General features: G+C 52.8%; 1 protein-coding gene across 17 annotated transcripts in view, besides 9 other annotated features; it reads left to right on the forward strand.

Annotated features, from left to right (window-relative positions):
- Nucleotides 1–24,711, forward strand: part of TTC7A (tetratricopeptide repeat domain 7A) — a 160,258-nt gene that overhangs the window by 116,634 nt on the left and 18,913 nt on the right. For 10 of the 17 annotated variants that reach the window (NM_001288953.2, XM_047445148.1, NM_020458.4 and 7 more), the window contains 3 exons: nt 13,816–13,932; nt 17,450–17,547; nt 19,247–19,381. In NM_001288953.2, coding sequence (NP_001275882.1) covers nt 13,816–13,932; nt 17,450–17,547; nt 19,247–19,381 — 350 coding nt within the window. Of the gene's footprint in view, nt 1–655; nt 729–13,217; nt 13,739–13,815; nt 13,933–14,766; nt 14,839–17,449; nt 17,548–17,840; nt 18,748–19,246; nt 19,382–21,589; nt 21,731–24,711 lie in introns of those variants that run through there. The other 7 variants (XM_017004524.2, XM_047445146.1, XR_007078570.1 and 4 more) reach the window with 6 other exon arrangements.
- Nucleotides 487–1,346: an enhancer, noted in NCBI's record as "H3K27ac-H3K4me1 hESC enhancer chr2:47260125-47260984 (GRCh37/hg19 assembly coordinates)". NCBI's record gives its function as "activates a minimal SCP1, AML or CMV promoter by ChIP-STARR-seq in naive H9 embryonic stem cells {active_cell/tissue: H9 hESC(naive)}" and the evidence as "EXISTENCE:reporter gene assay evidence [ECO:0000049][PMID:30033119]".
- Nucleotides 487–2,437: a biological region, named in NCBI's record as "BRD4-independent group 4 enhancer GRCh37_chr2:47260876-47262075".
- Nucleotides 1,238–2,437: an enhancer, noted in NCBI's record as "BRD4-independent group 4 enhancer chr2:47260876-47262075 (GRCh37/hg19 assembly coordinates)". NCBI's record gives its function as "activates an origin of replication core promoter dependent on BRD2, P300/CBP, MED14 and CDK7 cofactors, and independent of BRD4, by STARR-seq in HCT116 cells {active_cell/tissue: HCT116}" and the evidence as "EXISTENCE:reporter gene assay evidence [ECO:0000049][PMID:35650434]".
- Nucleotides 1,347–2,206: an enhancer, noted in NCBI's record as "H3K27ac-H3K4me1 hESC enhancer chr2:47260985-47261844 (GRCh37/hg19 assembly coordinates)". NCBI's record gives its function as "activates a minimal SCP1, AML or CMV promoter by ChIP-STARR-seq in naive H9 embryonic stem cells {active_cell/tissue: H9 hESC(naive)}" and the evidence as "EXISTENCE:reporter gene assay evidence [ECO:0000049][PMID:30033119]".
- Nucleotides 13,306–13,806: an enhancer, noted in NCBI's record as "H3K4me1 hESC enhancer chr2:47272944-47273444 (GRCh37/hg19 assembly coordinates)". NCBI's record gives its function as "activates a minimal SCP1, AML or CMV promoter by ChIP-STARR-seq in naive H9 embryonic stem cells {active_cell/tissue: H9 hESC(naive)}" and the evidence as "EXISTENCE:reporter gene assay evidence [ECO:0000049][PMID:30033119]".
- Nucleotides 13,807–14,307: an enhancer, noted in NCBI's record as "H3K4me1 hESC enhancer chr2:47273445-47273945 (GRCh37/hg19 assembly coordinates)". NCBI's record gives its function as "activates a minimal SCP1, AML or CMV promoter by ChIP-STARR-seq in naive H9 embryonic stem cells {active_cell/tissue: H9 hESC(naive)}" and the evidence as "EXISTENCE:reporter gene assay evidence [ECO:0000049][PMID:30033119]".
- Nucleotides 17,119–18,092: an enhancer, noted in NCBI's record as "H3K27ac-H3K4me1 hESC enhancer chr2:47276757-47277730 (GRCh37/hg19 assembly coordinates)". NCBI's record gives its function as "activates a minimal SCP1, AML or CMV promoter by ChIP-STARR-seq in primed H9 embryonic stem cells {active_cell/tissue: H9 hESC(primed)}" and the evidence as "EXISTENCE:reporter gene assay evidence [ECO:0000049][PMID:30033119]".
- Nucleotides 19,148–19,354: a silencer, noted in NCBI's record as "fragment chr2:47278786-47278992 (GRCh37/hg19 assembly coordinates)". NCBI's record gives its function as "represses an EF-1alpha promoter that drives an FKBP-Casp9 reporter gene in an ReSE screen in K562 erythroleukemia cells {active_cell/tissue: K562}" and the evidence as "EXISTENCE:reporter gene assay evidence [ECO:0000049][PMID:32094911]".
- Nucleotides 23,101–24,049: an enhancer, noted in NCBI's record as "H3K4me1 hESC enhancer chr2:47282739-47283687 (GRCh37/hg19 assembly coordinates)". NCBI's record gives its function as "activates a minimal SCP1, AML or CMV promoter by ChIP-STARR-seq in naive H9 embryonic stem cells {active_cell/tissue: H9 hESC(naive)}" and the evidence as "EXISTENCE:reporter gene assay evidence [ECO:0000049][PMID:30033119]".

A 24,711-nucleotide genomic window follows, 5' to 3' on the forward strand; every position in this document is an offset into this window, starting at 1 on the left:
CTAGGGGAATCAGCTCTGAGGTCAGAGCAGACTTTCGTTCCATGCCCTGAGGGATTCTGGAGGTTATTCTGCAACCTGTCACTCACCGTAGAGTGTGCTGCGAAGCATTTGGGGATCTGCAGGCCCCACCCCCAGTAGTGCCTCACTTTCCTTAGTCTGCTTGTCCAGGGCTGTGGGTCTAGGGGGAAGCAGCAGTAGGTTCTTCATCTTGAGCCACCATGAGCTCCTCACCTCCAGGATCCCGAGGAGCTCTGTTTTGATCCAGCTGGCCCTAAAAGGCTGCAAAACTAATTGGGAAAAAAAATACAGGGACTTTTGGCCTCCAGAATTGTAAGAGAATAAATCTCTGTTGTTTTAAGCAAAAAAAAAAAAAAAAAAAAAAAAATTGTATCTCTATATACCATTTATAGAGATATAATACTATATATATGGCTGGGGTGGGGCTGAGAAGTCCATGTACCGCCAGACTATGGTGAGTGACCATAGGGTATGACCATTATCTCTTTGTAAGTAAGTCAATACTGTTCCCCACAGATGAAACCTCAGAGCATAGAAACCCATGGATTAGCAGGAAATGTCACTGAGTCCATTACAGGTCAGGGATCACTGAAAAATGTCATTGCTCTTCGATTGACACTGCTCCCTGCTTCCTCAGCTGCTCTGCATTTGAGGAGAAGCCCTGTGTGCCTCCAGCTGTTGCCAAGGCAGTTAATTAAACAACCGGTCCGGTAAATATCACTGCAGCAAAATAACAAAAACCAAACTCCCTTTGTCCTGACCTCATCGTCCCCAGTAAGATCTGTATCCACAGGACACTTAAAGTCACCTTACAGAGGGCTATCCCAGTGCCTGAGGCCTATTAGAGGCGTCTCTTTTCAGCCATCAGTGTTAGAGGCCATCTGCATGGGATCCCAGAGCCTGCCTCGGGAATGGCAGAAGCTGGCTGGTGCTGGGCGTGGGCTTTGCCTGTTTCACTGCTTTCAGGGAGGCCTGCCACAGGGGAGGAAACTGGTGGGGGAATGGACCCCTGTCCATGTGAGCTGGTCCTTGTGTGAGAGCCACAGTGAGGTCCCAGCCCTTGAGTCATGTCTGTCACTGACCTGTGCCACCTGCAGCAACTTACTCCTCTTCCCCTTGCCTGTTTGCTCATCTGCCAAAAGACAGACACCTGCTCTCTCTCCCCTGGCTTGGGAGGTTTATTGTGAGACTCAGGAGAGGGCACACAGTCGATGGACAGCCGTGTTTGAAAGGTGGCAGTAGGGAGGGGAGAGGAGGCTGCCCACCAACAGCGTGAGGCTGTATCCTGGGTCCCCAGGGCGGCAGTGCCTGGGGAAGGCCAGGTAGTCCAGGAGGTGCTGGCAGCCGAGGCTGGGCCCTGACAGAGGCAGGGAAGGAAGCTCTGGGGAAAGGTTAGTGAGCTCCTTGGCTGCACAAGAAGTCGCCACTCCCATACAGGCAGCCTCTAGGCTCCCGGAGAAAACCCGGCTTTCGTGGAGTGGAACTTTTGAAAAGCCTTCTGAATTCAGGGGTTAGAAAGCACAGCAAAGAGGATCTTGATTTCTGTGCTGTGGGATGACCTTTAGTTAGTGGAGCTTGGGTTTAAAAAGGCAAAAAACGTGATGAGGCAGAGACAGACAGCCCCACAGGGACAGCATAAACCTCGCACGGTGGGAACCAGACACCCCGAGCAGCTTCCTGAAATCCTGTGGGCTTCTGACTAAGCCCTGGACACATGTGCCAGCCGGGCTGTCCCTGGCCAAGAGGCCAGGCCTGCAGGGGGCCTCAGGGGGCAGCAGCTCCCTATCCAGGCCTGGGTTTCGGGCCAAGCCGCGGAATGTGAAAGGTCCCGTGCACGCTTGGAGATGCCTGTGTGAGTCCTTTCTTCTTGTTTTGGGTATGAGAGGCAGCTGGGAGGCCCGACCAGGGAGGGGCAGGAATATGAGGTGAAGGGGAATGGGCCACTGATAAGCGTCCTTCCTGAAGCCATGGGCTCTGTGGGGCGATGGTTTTAGGTAACAAATTCCTTGGGCTTTAGTCAGGCCGCTTGTAGTGAAGGTCACCATAGTAACCAAACAAAGTTCCTCAGCTCATGATGGGAGCTTTCCAATAACCAGCCTGTCACGGCTCCCGTCCCAGGCCTGGCAGTCTGCCAGGCTGGTTTTGAAAGCCCAGGCCATACATAGGTCAAGGGAAGAACAAACAATTTCCCCTTCCCCTCTCCACAGTGGGCAAGGCCACCTCTTCCCACCCCCTGGAACCTCCGTCGGTCAGGGTAGGCCCTCTTGGGAGTTTCTGCTGGCCCAGTACTGGTCCCGGGGGACTTGGAAAGTCCTGGGGGAAGCTTTCAGAGCCCCGGAGACCCTCCCCAGTACAGGAATAATATGGGCTTCCCGACAAGCCAGAGCACGTGCCTGTAAACAAATGGAACCACACAGCCTTCTGCCCCAGGAAACCTAGACTGTTTTGGAAAATGTTTGAGCTGATAACCAGGCATTAGCTGGAGCCATACCTTGACTGACTTCAGCTAAGGCTAACGTTGGAGCTCAAGGGCACTCCTGGGATCTACCTGGTGTGCCTCACCTTTTTTTCAGGTGGCGCTTGTTGTATATTTCTCGTGGTATATTCCAATGAGCAGGGGGGATGAGTCCCGGGGCTTCTGTTAACATTCCTGACTTAAACCCAGTGTGTTTATTTGATTGTTCTTATTAAGGACTTGTAGTACATCAAAAGGATGCTTAGCATACCAACACTCCAGTGAGGGGGTGGAATCAAAGGTATTAACACAAACATAGTTTATCACTTTGCTGGGTTCATTAAACACGTTTGGCTGCCACAGCCCCTGAGGAAGACACCAGCCATGGGGGAACCTTGCAAGCCACGTGGCAGAGGGAAGTGTTAAGCCAGTCATAATCACTGGCAGCGCCGGATCCTTCCCCAAAGGTCAGTTCCTCATTAGCTAAGCTGAGTTGACATTCAGCATTTCCCTTCGTGGGTTGTCCCGTGAGAACCTCTGTGGCCTTGCTCTGTGTGACATGTACAGGTGAAAGTTGATGGTCATCATTCTCCAGTTAGTGGTCTGCCTACATTCAGACTTCTAGGGTAGATGACACAGGTTGTTTTGTTTGTCTGGGGAAGAGAGGAAAGAAAGGAAAGAGGAAGGAACATAGATACTTTCAGGTTTTGTTTTCAAAGGTGATGGTAACCCTTTCCTTCTGGTACTTGTTGCTTTCTCTGCTTGCGGCAGGGGCTGGAGGCAGGAATTGTGGCCCAGGGCACATGGTTCTCTGTAGCAGGGGAGGCCCAGCCCCAAGACAAAGCCTTTTTGCGCCTGGGAGAAGGCCTGTGTCCACAAAGCAGAGCTGACCTCTCCTCTGCAGTGGGAGATCTTCAGGTCCCTGGGGGTCTGACACAGGGCAGAGAGACCAAGGCAATTGCTTCTTTGTGTCTCAGCCCTGGCTGGGAACCTGCCTTTGTTCCTAAGGTAAGAAGAACCTAAGCGTCTTCTTTTGGGAAGTTCTTCCACCCCTGAATGGCCATGAAAAGGCACTGTGTGGTTTACATTTAAGTCTTTCAAGATCAGGAATTTGTGTTTGGGAAGTCCTCTCAAGGTAGCTGGAGGTAGCTGCAGGGAGGGAAGCCGAGACCCGGAGGCCAGTTGTGTCAGCCCAGAAACAGATAAGAATGCCATGTAACCCTGCAGCCAGCTGCAGGGTAGGGGCAGGCTGCTCTCAGAGCAGCCCTGGGGCCCTTCACCAGGTCAGGGACAGTCTTTGAAGTAAGAAGGCACTAACTTCAGGAAACCAAAGCTTTCAGGCTGTTGATTTTTAAAGCTTCAAAGTGAGATCACGTTAAATGAATTCATTAAGAGGTGGAGGATCATCATGAGCCTTATAAGATTAGAGGACATGGGTCAGTCTAATCCTCCAGACCGAAGGAAAAATAATTAGTTTTAGGGTTAAGAAGAGCTGCTAAAAAATGTCCCTTCTGTGTTAGGGATTAGTCTCTGGGAAGGTAATAAAACTGGGGCTGACTGTGGCCCTCCCCCTTTCAGGGAGGGTAAGGCCTGTTAGAGTCCTTTTAAAAATCATACCCTCTAGGCTGGGCACAGTGGCTTTGGGAGGCCAAGGCAGGAAGATCACTCGAGGCTAGGAGTTTGAGAACAGCCCTGGTAACATAGCAAGACCTCGTCTGTACAAAAAATTTTAAAAGTTAACCAGGCGTGGTGGCACACACCTGTAGTCCCAACGACTTGGGAGGCTGGGGTGAGAGGATTGGTTGAGCCTAGGAAGTTCAGGCTGCAGTGAGCTGTGATCACACTATTACACTCCAGCTTGGGTGACAGAACTGTCTCTTTAAAAAAGTCCTGAGCATGTGTTGGATTTAACATGGGTGAGAGACCATGTGTCTGGGAGACCTAGATCACTCAGCATATCCCCCGCATCCTGGCCAGGGTCTGGGTGATCACACTTGAATGGGGGTGAGGGGCAGGCTGGCTCCTGCTCAGAGGGCCCTCCCTGCCCCATCCTACTGTGCAGGTAGGGTATCCATACCTTGTCAGGCTGGCCCCTCTCTCCCACTATAGGCCTTTGTCTGCCCTTCCTGCCCATCTTCAGAGGACCCCCTCAGGTCCACTTTGTCCCCGGAGCCCCTGTACTTCAAAGCTGAACCACTCATTTGAGTACCAGATTCTGTTCTTGTTGTGTTTCCCAATGCGTTGGATGTCTTGTTTGAGTTTGGAAGTACCTTTGGAGCAGAGACTGGCCTCTCCTCTGCCTGCTTACCCCCATGGTAGGGAAACCCCCACTAAGCACAAAACACACTCCAGTGGACTCTCCAGCTGCTAGACAATGGGAGGGAGCTGTTTTGTTTTTTGGAAGGAAGAGAACCATGCGGGGATTTGGGGATCTCACAGCCAGAGTACTGTCACACCCCTCACCCAGTTTGGTTGTTTTGGTTTGGTTGCTCTGTTTTTTGGTCTTTACAGCACCCCTGTTTTGAAGATGAAGAAACTAATGTGAAAGTTAGATGATAGCTCAAGATCACATAGCTGATGAGTGGTGGAGCAGAGGCGAGAACCCATGCCAGCTGATTGGCAGGACCGCCCTGGTATACTTGAACTCCAAGAGCTTCAATAACAATAACAATGATGCACCCAGTGCTGGCTCCAGCCGGGCACTGCTGTGGGCACCTTGCTGCATTAGCTCTGTAATCCTCTCAGCGCCCTAAGAGGGATAGAAACTCATGATTCCCCTTTTACAGATGAGGAAACAGAGGCACAGAGGACCTAAGTAAGCACCTGCACGTAATGGGGATTGGGGACTGAGAATGAAAGTTTGGGCAAACATGTATTGAACCCTTTCTGAAGTGCCAGCCCCTGCTGGGCCTTTTATGTGCACGATGTCCTGCAGCAATCCTCAGGGTAAATAGACGCTGTCATTCTCATTTTACAGATAAGAAACTGAAACTCTAGGCTGGGCGCGGTCACTCATGCCTGTAATCCCAGCACTTTGGGATGCCGAGGCGGGCGGATCATTTGAGATCAGGAGTTTGAGACCAGCCTGACCAACATAGTGAAACCCCATCTGTACTAAAAATAAATTTAAAAAAAAATAAGCCAGGCGTGGTGGCGCATGCCTGTTGTCCCAGCTACTCAGGAGGCTGAGGCAGGAGAATCGCTTGAACCCAGGAGGTGGAGGTTGCAGTGAGCCGAGATCACGCCACTGCACTCCAGCTTGGGCGTCAGAGCGAGACTCCATCTCAAAAAAAAAAAAAAAAGAAAGAAAAAAGCTGAGGCTCTGTGACTTGCCCAAGGTCACATGGCTACAAGGAGGGACACTTGGGTCATCAGACTTGGACCCTGCTTTTCACCACTGAGTCCGACTTGGTGCAGCCCAGGCTGGGGACCATTTACTATGCAGCCTCTGGCCTCCTGGCCAAGGAATTAGACTTTCCAGAGGCGTGGCCACCTGACTCAGAGAATAGCCTGCTTTTTCACTCAATTATGTGTTTTCTATAAAAATAGAACTCTTCATTAAAACAGCTCAGCACAGCCATCAGCTGCAATTACTAATTACTGTCCTTTTAAGAGATAATGCCCCTTTCTATGCATTCACTACACCTGCTGCCACTTCCCACCCACCCTCCCCCCACCCACCCCCCCGACACACAGAGGGTTCCCAGAATGGCCAGGAGCCAGAGGGATCCGGAATTGCTGCCCAGGGCCCAGTGAGCACACATGGGACCAGTAGCACCTGGAAGAATGGAGAGTTTCAGGAACGCCCTGCAGCTTCACTTCCTTGGAGCTGCTTGGATCCTGGGAATACCCACAGTGTTCCAGGCCTTGGTGAGCCCTTGTGACTCAACTTTCCTCTTCCGTTCTTCAGCAATTTGTTGAGTGATATGAGAGCAGGCACCAAGGATACAAAGATAAGAAAGACCTAGTTCTCCCCCAGATGAAGGAAGGATCTCGCAGGAAGACAGGTCTGACAACAGCAAAGATGACTGAGAATGACAGCTAACCTCTCTTGAGGGGTGACATGCGCCAGGCACAGGCTCTCTTCCCCTTAGTTCTCCCAGCAACCCTCCTGGGCAGTACCATGACTGTCCTGCCTTGCAAATGAATAGGCACCATCAGAGGTGAAGGCACTTCCAGGAAGCAGCAGAGCCTGGAAGTATACCCACATCATCTGATGCTGAAGGCCCTGTCTCAACAGGGAAGTGGCTCCCTTATGTACATGGTGGTTACTGTGTTCAAGTGTTCATTGCAGGTGCTGAGTAACTACAGGGAGCTGCTTTCAGGAATATGAAAGTAAAAATGTGCACCCGACGTGCTTGCTGCCCACACAGCCTGTGTGTTTCCGTGCAGCCAGCTCTGCTCTGCCAACTTCCCCCACCAGCAAGAGTGGTGTGCTGGGGTGAGCAGCCAGGGAGGGGACACAGGGAGGGTGAGGATTGGTGCCCCCAGGTAAGGGGATGGAGATGACCTCTGACCCCAGGACTGTGCTTGGCTTAGCCAGAGACACCACAAAAATATCCCCTATCTACAAGATAACTATTTTTTTTTAAGTTTTTGGAAAAGCCATACTTACTCATTTCTGAGGAGTCTCACCCTAAGAGCTCTTTATAGCAGTGGGAAGAAATTGTTTCTCTTTGCCTCACATGGGAACAAGTCCAAGTCTTAATCCTTTTGACAAATAATTAGCAGTGTGATCCTGCCCTAGGAGTGCAGGTGAGGCATGGCTAGGAAGAAAAGGAGGAAGAGGAGGCAGATGCCAACATTCTCCTGGGAGCCTCCATCATCAGCCTGAGCTGGAGCGCTTGGGGAGATTGGCAAAGCTGGTGGCCTGTGGCATAGCCATTTTCTAACGGGGAACAGAGACACCAACCTCACTGGTCTCTAACTTCCTCCACAGAATCAGTGCTGCCCTAGACATACAGACCCTGTGGGCTGAGATGTCCCCTGGTTCAGCAGGGGCTGACTCTGTTAGGTCACCTGAGTGCCTTTCTGTGCCCCTGGGTGCTGCATCATGCTTGCAGATGGCATGGGAGTCGGCAGGTCCCAGTGGTTAGGATGGTGGGTGAGGGAACACCGAGCCTGGGTGAGGGGTGGCCGGTGTGGTCTACTGAAGGCTCTGGCAGCATCCTGACGAGGGCATAAGCACATAAAGAGGGGGCTTCTGTCTGCACTGGGCTCCCCGCCCAGACCAGGGCCTGTGTGCCACGTGGCCTGGATGGGGCTGCAGAGAGTACCAAGGATGGAGCACATCTCAGGACCCGGCCGTCCTTCCCTAGCCCCAGGAGTGTGACCAAGCGCATGGGGTGTTTACACTGACCCACGCTCCTTCCCCTTTCCCAGACAGAACACTCACTTTCATATCATCCTTCGATGCCGATGGCGTGGCAAGGGCGTTCGGCCTTAAAAGACCTCAGTGTTTACTTCACATGGGCTTCCACAGCTTAAACAGGAAAATGCTTGCAAGAGGGGTCACAGCGAGCATGCTTTGCCCAGAGCCCAGTTCCTATAGCTTTATGCATCTCCTTCCATCGTCTTCCTGTCATAAGCCTGTCTTAGGTCCTAGGAGTGAAGGGCCTAGTTCAACAGACCAAGAAGCTCAGGGCTTTCTGGGAGCCTTCAGAGGCACCTGGCCTAGAAACTTGCTTCTTGGGATCGGGCCGGCCTGCGGCTTCAAAGCAGGAGTCCCTTCCCTGTGTGCTGGAGAGCTGAATGCAGCTGCTACTTAGAGGTCATCACAGTTCAGCCTGGTGGAAGTTCGTGGGACAGGTGACTTTACTCCTGTTGTACAGGTGTGGGACCTGTGACATGCCCAGCTGGGTGACCACAGAGCTTGGACTTTGGCTTGGGTTTCTAATTCCTGGGCCAGTGTGTATTCACTTTGAGTAACGACACAGTGTGAGGCTCGAGGACAGTACTGTGACCATTGCTCTTCTGGAATGGCTCTTGTCGGAGGGCATAAATGTTGAAAGCTGCTGGATTTCGGTATTCAGGCGTTTCGATCACAGAGACTCTCCTCAGTGATACTTTTTGGCCTTGCCCAGTGACTGTCCCCTGGGATGGAGGCCCTCCACCCCCACCCCAGTCAGGAGGAGCCAGAAGATTCCACATCTGGAGCCCACTGTTCCTCCCCAGGTCCTGCTTTCACAGGGAGGAAAACTTTGCTTCTGGACAGTTTGGAATGGAATTGGCCAGCGCTCTGCTTGTCAGCTGTGGGAGTCCGGCCCACACTGCAGCTATGGGGAATCAAGTAACAGGCTCCAGGACTAGGCAGATACTGTGTGCTCAGCACTGTGCCAGACGCTGGGGGAGGGCAGCGGGGCCCTGCCTGCAGGCACTTGCAGACCAGGTGGGGACGCACGATGAGGCACAGGACAAGATAAACGGTGGTTTCACCATCCATAGGCCGGGCTGGCTGCACACTGATTCTAGAATGTCTGACATTAAAAATGCTTGATACGCCAGTCGCGGTGGCTCAAGCCTGTAATCCCAGCACTTTGGGAGGCCAAGGTGGGTGGATCACCTGAGGTCAGGAGTTCAAGAACAGCCTGACCTACATGCAGAAACTCCATCTCTACTAAAATACAAAAAATTAGCCGGGCCTGGTGGCGTATGCCTGTAATCTCAGCTGCTCAGGAGGCTGAGGCAGGAGAATTGCTTGAACCCAGGAGGCAGAGGTTGCGGTGAGCCAAGATTGCGCCATTCCACTCCAGCCTAGGCAACAAGAGCAAAACTCCGTCTCAAAAAAAAAAAAAAAGCTTGATATGAGTTTACTATTAAACTCTTAAGCCTAGGTGGCAAAAAAAGATTATATACATAGTAGGGGAAGGGAAAATGGCTTCCCTCCACCCTTCTAGGGAGGAGGGCTTTGGCTGGGCTACAGATTAAATTGAAATGACAGATTAACGGGAAAAAAAACGTATTTAATTATATACGTATGCACAGAAGTCCCACCAAGTATGAGATTCGAAGAAAGACGGGATGATTGAAGCTTAATAGCATCTGGAGCTACAGAAAGGAAAAGGGGATTGGGGTTCCTGCGGGTGGTAGAGACAAGTTATAGGAGGGTGACAGAGAGGAGATGATGAATAAAGGTCCTTTTGTTATGCAGATAAAAATCTCTCGGGTGATAGAAGTTGTCAGGAACAGCCCTCTTCTTTATAGATACTTTTACTAATGTAGATTTCCCTGAGAGGTGGAAGTTTCTAGGCCAGGCAGTGTGGCTAATGCCTGTAATCCCAATGCTTTGGGAGGTTGAGGCAGGAGGATCATTTGAGCCCAGGAGTTTGAGACCAGCCTAGGCAACATAGTGAGACCCCGTCTAACAAAAAATTAAAAAACTAGCTGGGTGTGGTGGCCCATGCCTGTTAGTCCTAACTACTCAGGAGGCTGAGGCAGGAAGATTGCTTGAGCCCAGGAGATCGAGGCTGCAATGAGCTATGATCACGTCACTGCACTCTGCCTGGGCAGCAGAGCCAGACCTTGTCTCTTTAAAAAAAAAAAGGAAATTTCTTTTATAAAAGGGCAGCTTTTCAGAGCTACTCTGTGTCTGCAGTTTCTCGGAATAACCAACTCAAAATATAAAATATGCCAAAGTATATTTTGGGGTGGCATATTCTGGTCTCAAACAGTCATATTTTAGGGTGGTGTGTCCTGAGCCCCAAGTGTGTGTGTGTGTGTGTGTGTGTGTGTATATATATGTATAAAGTAATTAAGTGCTAATGGAACACAGTGCCAGACATTCAGAGAAGGACAGCGTGGTCACATAGGGACATCTTGGAGGAGGGCTGGAGCCGTGGGATTGAAATAGTTTTTTTAGTCTCAGAATCCTTTATTCAAGTGGTGTTTTAGGCTCAGTTGGTTTATAAGACAGGTAAGCAAGGGGAAGGGGAGCCTAGGCTTGCCTACTCTATCCCCAGCCCCGACTGCCAGCAGCCTCCCCCCAGCTTCCCCCAGGAGTCACAGCGTTCTGGTGAGGCTGTGGCCACAGCTTCGATTCCCCCTGGCTGTGAGGGCCCCAGAATGTCACCCACCAGTCCTGACGGCATGCCAGGGCTCCGCCAGGCTTCCTGAAGAAATGGGCTAAGCATTGATAGGTGGGTGAGGAGAAGCAGCTACCCGTTGCAGTGGACAGGATGGAGAGGGGGCCTGTGCTCCTTAGTCAGAAGAGCAGCTGAGTTGCTCCTTCTGAGGGAGTGGAGTTGTTTGCTGATCCCTGTTGGAAGTGGGAGAAAGTTCTGCAGTGAACTAGAGGCAAGCCAGCAGAGGCACAGATAACCACATCCTGACATCAGGAAGGCTGTCTTAGAGGGGGTTGTGCACAGCCCCCATGGGGATACAGAAAGCCAGAGGGCGACATCTGGTTAGGAGCTGGCTGAATGTCAGAGGGGAAAGGGTGATCTCAGCAGAGGCTACAGCAGAAGCACAGCACGGATGAGTCCCGGAGCCTGTTCCGAGGCTCAGGGAGCTGCTAATACCCATGTGATCAGTGTACCAGCGCCCAAGGTCATGGGGAGGATGGCAGGAAGGGAGGGTAGAGCCAGAGTGGGAAAGCTGTGAAGGCCATACAGAGGCACAGAAGGTGAGGACCACAGGTCAGGGTTCTTTGTGGAAGAAAATCCCTCTGGCAGCGCTCACCTGCCAGCCCAAGGAAATCTCAGGAGCAAATCTGGATCCTCCCAGGATCCTGGAGTGAAAGATCAGACCAGAGTGACTGGTGGAGCACTTGCCCCAGCCCAGAAAGGATGTGGTCGGGTTGAGAAAATCCGCTCTGGGCCACTCATGCTAATGGAATGTCAGCAGCTGCAAAGGTACAGCCTGCCTTTGGTAGAACTTACTGTGATGCCAGCTCAGTTTTCATCCACTTCTTTGCCAGGCACATGGTGTGGTCGGGTCTGCCCTAGACCCATTCCGGCCCTCAAAGATGAAGAAAATGAGAAGGGGGCTCTGGCAGAGAGAAGTGTGATGCCTGCAGAGGGCCCGGGGAATGCAGCAGGGCTGGCCTGCCCAGGGAGCTGTCCCCAGGGAGCTGTCCCCAGGAACCAGCCCAGCCCAGGGGACTTGGCTGACTGAGGGAGGGGCTTTCCCACCTCACTGACACCTGCTGCTTCAACCAGCTGCCCCACCCTCCACACCGGAGCCTCTTCTCTCTCCCTGACTCCCAGCCAAGTCCCACTCCACCCTGCTTTTCACCAAACACCAGCTCCAGCAAGACCCCTTTCCTGTTTCTTCCCCTGTACTGAGTCTGATCCAAAAATTCAGCCCTTGATTCTCTGGGCAGTGTGTCATTTATAGCGCTCTAATTGTTGTCTCGAAGGCAGCCATTGTGTTTTCTTCTTCATATTCCCGAAAGCACAGGCCCCTGATACTTATGGAGTGTTGGATCCTTTGCAAACCTGCGGAAGGAGAGTACAGTGGCAAGACCAGTTGTCCCCAGCAGTTGCCCACTGGGGTCATTCCTACTCAGGGCTGTGTCCTGCCAGCTGTGCACTCAGGTCCGTGCAGTCCATGCTAGGGGGATCCCGGTTTCTGCCCTTGGGACCTGATAGGCAAGCCAGGTGGTCGTTAGTTCTATGTTCCAAGATGGGTGCAGGGCATCCTAAGAATTGAGAGAGGTGGGATTTAAAGCCAGGCTTGGGATGGATGAAAATGAAGAGGAGAGTTGGTATCTGGGGGGCAACCCGTGTGCAGGGTCAGGAAAGGCATTTTGGGGATGCAGTGAGGAAGAAAAATACTTGTCCAGAAATCCCCTCTTCTGAAAATCCTGGGGCAAATTCCACCCTCTTCATTCTCTACCAAGTTGCAATCTAAGAGACAAAGTATGGAAAGATGGGCAGAGAGTAAGGACATCAGAGGGCTTCATGAAGCTGGGAGCCCAGGTCTTAGGGCAGAGGCCCAGCTGAGAGAGAAGATCAGAGGGGCAACTGCCAGGGGCAGGCCTGGCCTCACCGGGTGGCACCTGCAGCCTTCGCAGTCTGGGTAGGGACCCTCCGATGGAGCAGGCCTGTGTGCTACCCTCAGGTGGGCTGGTAGAACCTCCGGGCAGTGATCAAGTGCAGGCCCTGACAGTACCGTGGTCTTGCTCATCAGTGATACTGAGAAGAAAGGGCCTCACTACTCACCACTGGTGAGAACCGGGAGGTGCTGCCGTCTGGCCCTCGGTGGTTCAAACTCTTCGCAGGCTGCCCAGGCAGCTGGTTGGGTGAAAATATGACTGGACTTCCATACTGGTTGCTGTATAGCCACTGCCTGGACCCCTCCAGAACCCCCAGACCTCCCCAGCATCTGAAGGGCCAACACCAGTCACAGCAGGGCCTCCAGGGCTCCACCCCAGCTCTTGATGAGCAAGTGTCATGACTGGCCTGTGAGAAGCATTCTGGCTGTGCCTGCTGTGTCCAGGGTAGAGGGAGGGAGCCAGCCATCCCCGCTGAGGTCCTGCCTCCAGGTGGGACCAGCTCTTCTTCTCAACCATTCTAAGGGCCACTCCCCACACTGGTCTTACCTCAGAGGACTTTAGGTTTTCAGGTCGAAAGAAATTCTGAAGTTGCTTGCTCTCATTGCACGGTAACTGTCCCTAAATGGTGATTGAAAAGGATTTCACGTCACTTTAATCCTATGGATTATATAAGGGGAGCTGGCTATTTTGGGAAATCCAAGGAAGAATCCTTTGATAAAGCATAACACCGCCTTCTTTGTGTATCTCCAGGGTCAGGAAGCAAACTTTGCAGTTCCACTTAGGAGGCGTTGCTTGGGCACCTATACTGTTGTGGCTGGCAAGGTGGGAAGTGGAGCTCTGTCCTTAGGGGACCTCCTTGCCAGTTCCTTGCTCTACCTTCACTCACGGATTCTAAGTCACTGTCTGGATGGGTCTCTTATCCAAGGTCCCATGCTGGGCCCTGTGGGGAATGTGAGTGTAAGCCTGGTCCCACGATCATTAGGCACAGGGCGTTGCTTAGTGGAGGATGTGGGTAGGAAGAGCAAACCGAGCAAGACCAGGACTCACAGAACAGTGCTTCAGAGATGGGCAGGATGGCACATGGTCAGGGGACACGGGGCATCAGCAGTGTGGGCACTGACAATGCTTCATGGAGTGCTTCATGCTTTGGCAGCAAAGATGGGGAGAAACTGAGGCACACAGAGAAAGCAAGCGGTCCAGGGGCATGGCAGAGGCTGCTGCCCTCATGGCACTCTGCTTTCTGCGAGTTAGGGAGGTGAGCATGTGGAGCCGCCCTGGTGGGGCAGGATCCCCAGGTGAAAGTGGGCCCTTGCTGGGGTGTGCTGATGGCCACTCTCCGTCCCCACAGCCTGATGTTCACCAAGGTGAAGCTGGAGCAGGTGCTGAAAGGCCCAGAGGAAGCCCTCGTGACCTGCAGACAAGTGCTGAGGCTGTGGCAGACCCTGTACAGCTTCTCCCAGCTGGGGTGAGTGGCCGTCATTGTCTCTTGGGTTGCCAGAGGGTGGTTGCCAGGGCAACAATCCACAGCTGGGTGGCCACCATGCCTGCCAAGATGGGGAGGAGAGTGAGGCTTTTGAATGAGAGCGTGGAACTTCCTGCCCACAGAGCTTTCACATCCATAGTCCAGTTTGAACCTCCTGACAGTCCTCTATGAAGTACATAGAGACCCTACGTAGGACATTGAGGTTCAGAGTGGTAAGAAGGAAGAGAAATCATTCTTGAGCACTGGAGCTGGGTGCTGGGCTTGTTCCTTTATCTTACACCTCAGCTGCTTATAGCTTATGCATTATCAGATTTTATTCCCAGCCCAGTGAGGAAACTCAGACACAGAGACTTTATATATAGCTTACCAGAATCACTCGCCTGGTAAGTGGTAGTGCTGGGACTTGAACTTGGGTCTCCTGAGTTCCAGCCCATGGAGCCTGTCACTTCTTTCCTCATTCCATTTGGAGGCTAGAAGAGGAGGAGGAGGTGTACTCCTGAAGGGCCACCCCTTCTTCCCTAGTCACCCACGGTCTTCATGCCTCCTGTCTCCTGCTGGAGACCCTGGCCTGGGACCTGGGTCTTTCATGGGCCAGAGCAGGGCACTCTTGTCCAGGCTGAATCTGCAGGAAGTCTTTGCTCAAACCCAATGGGATGCCTAGGCTTAGCCTATGTGGCCCAAAGGGAAAGTGGGCCTCCTTCAGGTCAGGAGCCCTGCCTCTTCCTGATCCTCTTGTCCTTCTTTGGGATAGCTGGCTGTGTCATCTCCCTGAGGCCTCAGGGGACCCCAGTCTGGTGTATATTTGTGTTTTCACAGAGACTTTAGGAGCCCAGAAGGCTTCCAGACTCCCCAGAGGAACATCTGTAACAGTGAAATTTACAGAGGAGGGTAATCAGACAGAGTAAAACACCTTGGGCAAAGTCAGCCCTCACTTTTCAGGCCTGGGAGACCAGGGCAGAGGAGGACCAGTGGGCGGAAGCTGCCAGAAGGAGGCTCTGGGGTTGAGGGACTTTTCAGAATGAGAATTTGAAGCCACCTGGCAGCTGGATGCATGAAGCCAAGGGCCACACTCTGGGTGAAGGGACCTGCATTCCGATGGCCTTGTTTTCCTGCTCACTGGCTGTGGCCGCACAAGCAGGTGCACAACCTGGCTCCCTTCCTGCAAGGGGGTTGCTCCAGAGCTGGCCGCTCTGTTCCTGCATCCTTATCTGGATGGCTGCTTGTCTCTTCCTCCAAGTGGTCAGTCGTGGTGGGACCCCTCTGAGCTGCAGCCTTGTCTCCCAGCATTGAAGACCTGGCCTATGCCTCCCTTGGAGCAGCAGAACTGCAGGGCTGGGGCTTGTCACAATGGGAAGCCCCTAAGCACCTCTCCTTGGCTGCCCCAAACTAGATTTTATAAGCCCTGGTTTCTGATCTGTGGCCCCAAGTTTAGAAAAGAATCCTCCCTGTCTCCTGGGAAAGCCAGGAGGATATTGGATCCAGGCTCCTGGTCCAGATAGCCCTGCCCTACACTGAGGGTAGAATCTAGTTTGGAGCCAAGGATTAAGACCACAGCCTGCAGGTCTGGCCTAGCAGACCTTCACTATCAGCCGCACCTTCCACTGAACTCCCTGACCCCCTTCCTCTGCTCTGCCTGGGCCAGCCCCACACTGCTGGTCTCATGTTCTAATTGCCCCTCAGGCCCTGTCCAGATGCCCCTCCTTCATGGAGCCACCAACCACCCAGCCTCTAAAATGCTTCATTCAACCCTCTCATGTGGGTTTTTGCTAACTGCTCAACTTGAACGGTCCCTTCTCCCCATCTGGGCTGTAAGGTTCTTCAAGGTAGGGACCATGCTGTACATTGGCCTAGAACCAAGTGTAGTCCTGGAGATGGACTCTTTGTGGAGCCCTAGGAAAGGCCCCTTCACGGGATGGGAGAAAGAGTAGGATGGGAAGCTGCACCCAGCCCTGCTCCATGCCAGCCCTGCACCAGGATCTGCCCATGTTGTCTCATTTGCTCCCCACGACCACCTTGTGTGATGGACATTCTCATGACCATTTTCAAGATGAGAAACCTAAGACTTAGAAAGGTCAAGTAGCATTGCCAAGGGTCACAAAGCTGAGAAAGGTGGCCCATGATTCCAGCCTAGTGTTTCTGGCTTTTTTGTTTTGTATTGTTTTTGTTTTTTTGAGACAGGGTCTTGCCCTGTTGCCCAGGCTGGAGTTCAGTGGCAGGATCACAGCTCACTGCAGCCTCTGTCCCCTGGGCTTAAGCAATCCTCCTGCCTCAGCCTCCCAAATAGCTGGGACTGCAGGCACCCACGACCATGTCTGGTTAATTTAAACATTTTTTGTAGAGATGGGGTCATACTCTGTTATCCAAGCTGTTGTTGAACTCTTGCCCTCAGGTGATCCTCCTGCCTCAGCCTCCCAAAGTGCTGGGATTATGGGCATGAGCCTCCATGCCTGGCCTGTCTCTGGCTTTTTTGCACCACACTTTGTGCCTCCTGGGAATGGGAAGGGGTGGGAGAGGAAGGGAGCCAGCCCTGAGCCATTGTGGTTTTATAGATGGTTTCCTCTGATGCCCACTAAAATTCCCAGACCCGAGTTGAAGCCAGGGTGAGCCTGAGTTACGATGGCAAGGACACCCCTGGTATTCATTGTGGGATCATCATCTTGGTGCTTCTCTGAAGGAAAGAAACCTTCTTGCCCAGGCTTGGCCTGCCTCCTCCTCTCCTGTGCCTTCTGCTTCTATTCTCTAAGTTTCCCCAGTCAACAGGGTCAAAGGTTGTGGGCTTCCTCGGCAGTGGGAATGTGCTGGCTGGGGCTGCTTGTGCCCCAGGATGGCCACGGCGGGCTTAAGCTGGAGGCTATTTCCTGGCTCCCCGCTGCCCCCACTCTGTGAAAAGAGGAACCCCTCCCCCCCGCCAGCAGTATAGCAGCAGGGATCTGGGAAATTGGGGACAAGGGTTGGGGGACAAGATGGGATCTCCAGGGGCTACCCCTGGAGATCTGCCACCCCAGGGGCCTCCGCTGGCTCTTCTGGGGACCCCCTGGCAGCCCAAGGAATGGAAGCCTGAGGCAGGGGGTGACATCCGGGCCCTTTTTCCATAGGGGTTTGGGGGTTGCAGCACTTCTAGTGCCCTATGAAGACCAGGCTTTCCTTGGCAGTCAGTCCACAGTCCCCACTCTCTGCCTGGCACTCTGCTGGATGTTGCTCCCCCTGGCCTGGGGAGCTTCTGGCCTTACCCACTTCAGAGAAGATAGTAGGGAGTGTGGGAGAGTTTCCAGGTCTCAGCCTGTGTGGTATGCGACCCACGTTGATCCCTCCTGCCTCTCTAGTGATGTTGGTGACTTCAGCTCTGTCTTTGGGCCTGAACCCACAGCCCCAGAGCCTGCCTGGAGTGAGGCTGTCCCATTCTCCCTGCCAGTCCTTGTGATGCTGGCCCTCTACCTCACTGGGCCCTGTGATGCTAGCCCTCTACCTTACCGGACCCTGGCCCTCTTTTGCCTTCCAGAGGCCTAGAAAAGGATGGCAGCTTCGGTGAGGGCCTCACCATGAAGAAGCAGAGTGGCATGCACCTGACTTTGCCTGATGCCCATGATGCAGACTCTGGTAAGAACGAGCTCCTTGGGCCACTGTGTGCATGGACCCACAGCTCACACTCCCAGCTTGAGAGCACCAACACAGAGAGGGGCCGGGCCCTCTCCCAGCCGGGCCAAGCCCACCACTGGCTCCTTGCCAGCTCGGGCAACTTCTGGGGCTGATCTTGGCTCTGGGTAGGGGCTGGCTGCTGGTCCCACAGTGGGCAGTGGGCAGGGGAGGAACCCTGCCTCCTGCATGGGGGTGAAGAAAGAGGAGCCTGGCTGAAAAGGTGGCTGTGGAGCACAGAAACCGTTTCCCCTTAGGCTCAAGCCAGAGGCCACAGTCCACGTAATGTCCTTGGCAGATCAAGTCAAATAGAAAGGAATGGACTGAGCTCTTTACAATTCTAAGCTGAAAGCAGACTCTTTTCTGGAAAAACTCATCCTGAAACCCATGGCTTGTGAAATTCAAATGAGTTCAGGAACTGCAGACTTAACATTTTTTAACTGAGGACCTGCTTAAAGCAGAACACCTTCATCAAAAACACAAGAATTAGTCATGGGAAAGAAGGTGTGAGTGGAGTTGTATTTAGTGGAATTGCTCAGTTTTTTCACTTCTGTAGACATGAGCCTTTCTGTGGACAAAGCCTTGCACCTTTGTTGTCAAATGACAGAGTTGATTTCAGAAGCCAAACCTAGCACCCAACTTTAGAGGCACATCTCAGGGGTGTATGGCTGTATGCAGAGCTTCTGTCTCCCAGGAGGGAATGGTTAAGGGAGGGGAGAATGGTAGCTCCCTTGCAATTAAAGAAGGAAGAATCATGAACAAAGTTATTAGGACTCCAGGTACACTTGTCTCATAAACTGAAGTCATCCGTGGTTTGCCGTGAGGTCTCCTGAGTTTATTGGAGCCTTTATTGCGTCTATGACAGAGAGAGAGAAAGTGCTCACATTTCACCTGCATGGGAATTATAAATGTCAACAGCTTATATGTCCTGAACCGGAGCCCATGTCACCCAGAACTGCCACTGAGAGAGGTTTTCCAGAGGGCAGTGTTCTGACTTGAGCTGCTATCCAGTCCTTCACAGCACAGCCTTGAATGGGTACCTTTCTACAAACAAATGAGAATATGCACTTGTGAAAACAGAAGGTGAAAATAGCCAAGGGAAGAAAAGAAAAATCATTCCTAATTTCACCACTTAGACCTTAATAAATGGCCTTTCAGACTTTTTTCCATGCCCATATTTCTTTTTTATAAAAATGTGGTCCTATTCTTTTGTAACTTGCTTGTTTTCACCTAACTATATAGTGCGAACATCTTTCTACATTGATATCTGTATTTGTATTTTGTTATTTTAATGATCGCAGAGTCTGGGATGATTATACCCCCACTTATTTTTAATCAATCCCTATTGTTGGACACTGAGGTTATTTCTGTTGTGTTCACGTAAAGAGCATCTTTGCTGACATTATTGTTTTCCCAGGAATAGATCCTAGTGGGATCTCTGCCTGATTTTCCTCCAAAGAGCTCCCCTCCCCAGCTGTGGGTGAGAGGACATAGTGGGCCCTCCCTAGTGGGTCTGTGAGCTGCTTTCTGGCTGCCCAGCCGCACCACCCTACCCTGATTCAGGGTGCCCTGTCTCCCCATGGTGCTGGGCAATGACTGCTCCTGGGGCCTGCAACGTGTGGACCTCTGACCACTGCTCGGCTCGTGCCCTCTTGCTCTGCAGGCTCCCGGCGGGCTTCGTCCATCGCCGCCTCCCGGCTGGAGGAGGCCATGTCAGAGCTGACTATGCCCTCTTCGGTCCTGAAGCAGGGCCCCATGCAGCTGTGGACCACGCTGGAACAGATCTGGCTGCAGGCTGGTGAGTGCCCTGGTCCCAGTGACACACACAGCCTGTCTGCAGGCCACCCATGCTCTCAGAGCCCTGTCCTGGAGAAGGGAGTGTGGGGAGGTGGGGACACCTTGCTAGGCCCACGCGGGTTACAGAGTCCTCGCCTCTGGCTGTGGGTCTCCTTCTCTGCCCAGTGGAGATGGTGTCTGCCTTCCTGCCTGGGAGAGCTTCTCTGGCAGCAAGCCCAAACGTGAGAGGATTGGAGGTCCTGAGAGGCCACACAGATGGACAGTTGTCTCAGTCTCAAAAACAGGCTTCAAACCCTGGAGAGCTCAGAGAGGGGAGGTGTGGAGGCCCCAAGAAAGAGAGGGCTGGGGGTAGAATTCATTGAAGATGGAGGAAAGACTGGTAACTTTGAGGTTGCCATTCAGGTGACAGTCCCTCTTGGTAACTAAGTGATACCATTGCCACCAGGCGTCTGAAGGCCAGCCAGTGTTGGGGAGGCAGGCTGTAGGAAGCCTGGCTCCAGAGTTCCACAGACCTGGGTTCTGAAAGCAGCCCACAGCTGGCTAGCCCTGATCTGAAACGAGCCAATGTGTGACACAGTCAGGGTGGCCATTACAAGTGCTCAGCAAAAGGTGTTTGGCTTCCGTCTCGTCCATGGCAGTCATGGTGGAGGAAGAGGCAGCATGGCCCCACGGACAGCGAGTGTCTTAACACCGGCTTATGAATGCCCGGGAGGGACTCGCTGCCAAGAGTTTTGAAAATTTACCCTGACAGTAGTGTGAGAGGTAGATCAGAGTGGAAAGAGAGAGAGCCAAAGCCAAAGATGACAAGTGCCTGAATGAAATAAAATGGCAGCAGAAGACAGAGGAGGAGGATAGGCTAAATGGACCCCTAAAGTACCCCAGGCCAACACAACCCCTTGGCCTAGAGCTGCCCACGTGAAGTTCTGGGCCCAGGAGTACCTCTTGCATTTTCTCTGATTACCCTCCTCTCTGCTCCTTCTCCATCATGGGGGTGTGCTATTGTCCCCAGGGGGGGAGTTGGAGAAGAAACCGAAAGTTGATGATCTCTTACTGGGACATGGGGATTTGGTAAGTCAGAGTCCGAATATGCTTGTTAGCTGAGAATCTAAGGTTTCCCACTGCATGTTCCTCACATACGGCACATTAGTATGCAGTACGCCCCCACTCTCCCCACTGTAGGTTCTGAATCTGCAAAAAACATTGGATAGGATTCACAGGAAGGCTAGACATGGGAGCACTTTAACAATGCAGAAACTGTCCCAGTTAGCATCTCGGGGTCCCTTCGGATGCTGGGGGTGGGCGGAGGCTGCACTTGCTCCACAGTCAGCTTGTTGGGTTTTAAGTAGGAAGAGGGATGTTGAAAAATCCAGAGGAATAATAAACAAGGCCTCGCCTTAGGCAAAGGTTCCCGTCGTCTTCTAAGATTCTAATGACTTCTAAGACTAAAATAATGACTTCCAACTTCCAAGGGGCCGCATGGAGCCCCAGCCCCCACAGCTTCGCACCCATGATGGGGGCTTCACCAGCTTTAAGGAATGCAGCGTAACACAGTGATCAGATTCTGCAGTTGTGGGTTGCCTGTACCAGAGCTCCCAGGCCTTTGTTTGAATGATTTGCCTTGGTTTTGGTGGGCGGGTTTTTGGTGGGTTTTTTTGTTTGTTTGTTTGGTTGGTTGGTTGGTTGGTTGGTTGGTTGGTTGGTTGGTTTTTTGAGGCAGAGTCTCACTCTGTGGCCCAGGCTGGAGTGCAGTGGTGCAATCTCAGCTCACTGCAACCTCCACCTCCCAGGTTCAAGTGATTCTCCCACCTCAGCCTCCTGAGTAGCTGGGACTACAGGTGTGTGCCACCGTGCCCGGCTAATTTTTTTTGTATTTTTAGTACAGACAGGGTTTCACCATGTTGGCCACACTGGTTTCGAACTCCTCACCTCAGTGATCTGCCCGCCGTGGCCCACCAAAGTGCTGGGATTACAGGCGTGAGCCACTGCGCCCGGCCTGATTTGTCTTGTTTGTTTACTACCATCATCACAAGCTTGCTTGCAGTTCTCAGGTTGTATATTGCTTTATACTAGGGATGTTAGCATGTGCTGATAACTCCAAGTAAGGTTAAAGGCCCTCCTGAAGCCAGTAATTAGACTTGGGAATGTCAAGAGAAACACATGCCTTTCAGTCATTTGCACATGAGCCTTTCTTCTTTGGTCATTGTCTTAGATATTCACTCCACAGAAGAGAACTCCGAGAACAGCATCTGAATGCTTTGAATGTGGCGCTGCATCAGGGTCAGGCAGTGTAGTATTAGGAGACCAGTTTGGGTGCATGTAGCAGATCCAAAATAGCAGTGTCTTGCACAAGGTGGGTGCTTATTTCTTTCTCATGTAACAGTTTACAGTTTACAGATGACAGCCTTGACTGGGACAGCGACTCTTCTGTCCCTAGGGTATCACTGTCGTCCATGTGGTCCAGGATGGCTCTCTGCCACATTCACATTCCAAGGCAAACGATTTACAAGGAAGAAAGGCACCCCCTTCCCTATAAGGACATGTCCTGGAATTGGCACACATCACCTCCCCTCATGATCCATTGGCCAGAACTTAGTTATTTGACTGCCCCTAACTGCCGAGGGCTCTGGCAGATGTCATTATTCTGGGTGTCCCATTAAAAGTCAGGGGATCAGGCCGGGTGCGGTGGCTCATGCCCGTAATCCGAGCACTTTGGGAGGCCGAGGCAGGCAGACGACTTGAGCCCAGGAGTTCAAGACCAACCCAGGCAACATGGTAAAACCCCATCTCTACTAAAAATACAAAAAAATTATCTGGGCATGGTGGTGCATGCCTGTAGTCCCAGCTGCTCTGGAGGCTGAGGTGGGAGGATCACTTGAGCCTAGGAAGTCGAGGCTGCAGTGAACTGAGACTGTGCCACTGCATGCCAGCCTGGGCAATGGGAGTGAGACCCTGTCTCAAAAAAAAAAAAAAAGTCAGGGGATCTATCCTGCTAGAAGAAGGGGAGAATACACTGGTGACTGGTGCACAACCGCCACGGCCAGGAAAGGAACATGAGAAGGTGTCCTAGTTCTTTCATTCTGAGCATGAGAGAATTCCAGGGTAATTTGCACCCCCTGAGCCCTCTCCCCTCCCCTGGCTGCCATCATCACTAGCAAGCATCTACCAAGCACCTGTTGAATGGAGGGCTGCCAGGACCAGATCACCAGGGCAATGATCTCCCTAAACCGCCTCCCCCACCTGACCCAGGCTAAGAATACAATCAGCATCCCCCCGCCAAACCCTGCCTAATGACTCCACCAGCTGCAGCAAATTTGCAGGAAGGGAAAAAGATGCCTTGATCATTTTGGAAGGAGCTAATCCCCCTGGTTTGGTTCAAGATAAATTGCATCCCAATCTGTATGGCAGTAAGTTCCATCGTGAATTCACTCTTTGGTTGAATTCAAAGAGACTGTCGTAGCCTTCCTCTCTCAACTCTTGCCCTCCTCTCCTCCCTTCTTCAAGCCTCCTTCCAATTCCAGTCCAGTGCGAGAAGCTGATGAATGGTACCCACTTGAGAGACGGGCTGCAGGGCAATGCCTCTTGGGCAGCGGGTCTGTGTGAGAGTGGGAGAGGCACAGAGTCCCATAGATGCTCCAGGATCTGAGTGTTGAGAGAGGTGCTTTCCCTAAAAGCAAGAACTACCCCTTCATCCCCCATGACCCCCATGATCCCAGGTCACGGCTCTGGGAGCTGACAGTGGGCCAGAGCAGGAGACGCATGTAGGGAGAGTGCCCCTACCCTGGAGGTCCAAGGGCTCATGGGTAGCTCTGGGCTTTCTCCAGGTTTAGGGGAAGCTGGCCTGAGTCTCAGCTCCCCAGTGCCAGACTCCTGTGGTCTGGTGCCGGTGCTCTGGCCCGCAGTTGGAGGCCACCCCAGGTGTCTCCTGGGCAGACTTGGGGGGCTGGGGTGGGGTGGCCAGCGCTGTGGCTGAAGCGGGTGTTTATGATGAAGCCATAGTCCAGGGAGAAGCTGGCGCTCACCCTTGGTCCTACATGCTCCTCTACTCTTTGTCATCCTTCCTGCCCCCCTCCTGTCTTCATTCAGTGCCTTCTTCCCACGTCCTCCTCTTCCCTGGCTCCAGCTTTTTCTTCCCTCCTCCCAGCTTCCCGAGTCAGCGAGGCCACTCTCAGGACAGGCCCATGCAGCCCCTGACTGCCTTGTGCCCTCTAGGTCCCAGGGATGGAGGGTCTCAGACCAACCTGAGAACTCCCTGGAGACCTTTGGATTCCCTGTGTTGGCCTGGGCGTTCTCCATTCTAGTCCCCTTGATCTTCACTCTCCTTCCTCCCTTGCCCTCTCCCCACCTTCCTTCTTTTTCTGGGCATTTATATGCTCTGAGTGTCTGATGCTTATTTCCTTTGGGTCACCCAAATGGCCCCCACTGAGGGTCAAGGCTAGCCATGGTGAATTCTTTTGGGGGGACTAACCTATTTCTCTCCTGCCCTGTGGCTCACCTCTCTGAAGTCTGGGGGAGGGTCTCTGTAGGAAGCACACTCACCTGGAGAAGCCCTAAGAGGCCTTGGGGGTGGGCCCAGGCTCTCTGTACCCTGCTCATTAGCACAGGGCCAGCCTGCGGGCAAGGCCCTCCCTGCAAAGGGGGTGTGGAAATAGCCCATGGAAAGTGGGCCCATCCCCCTGCCCGGGGTGGGAGAGCCTCGGCTTTGGCAGGAAGACTGGAACCAGCTCTGGGTGCAGGGTTAGACCAGGATGCCTCAAAAAAATAATAAAAGGGCCTCTTGCAAAGCTCCAGGGAACAGATGTTTTCCATTTGTAGCCTGCCGAGAGAAAGCACAGAGGAGAGGGGGTGGAGAGAGATGGAGGGAAGAGGAGGAAAACCGGAGACAGACAAGCAAGAGAAGAGGTCAGGGGGTAGGCAGGAGGATGATGAGAGCAGAGGGAAAATCAGAAAGGGGAAGACAGCATGAAGGAATGGAGGGGCCCCTTGACGCTGAGGGTGCAGCAGGGGCACCGTGTGCCCAAATCTCTGACCCCTCCCCCCCATCCAGCCCCGTGTGCTGGATGATGACCTCGACAATGAAAATTCAAGGAAAATGTGGTGCCCTGGCCAGGGGATGCTGGGATGGATGTGGGCACCACTGGGTCCTGGCAGCCACGGCCAGGCTGGGAAGGATCAGGGCCGTGGGTGGATGCGGCGCCCCAGGGCTACTGCAGCTATCTGACCATGGCTAGCAAAGCGTCGAGCAGGAGCCGAAGGCATCTGCTCAGGGACACTGAGACTAGCAAGGGGCAGTGCATTGTCACCCCAGACCTTTGGGCCTGTGTGCAGGTCAGA

Source organism: Homo sapiens, chromosome 2 (genome assembly GCF_000001405.40).
Source record: "Homo sapiens chromosome 2, GRCh38.p14 Primary Assembly".
Classification (NCBI taxonomy): domain Eukaryota; kingdom Metazoa; phylum Chordata; class Mammalia; order Primates; family Hominidae; genus Homo; species Homo sapiens.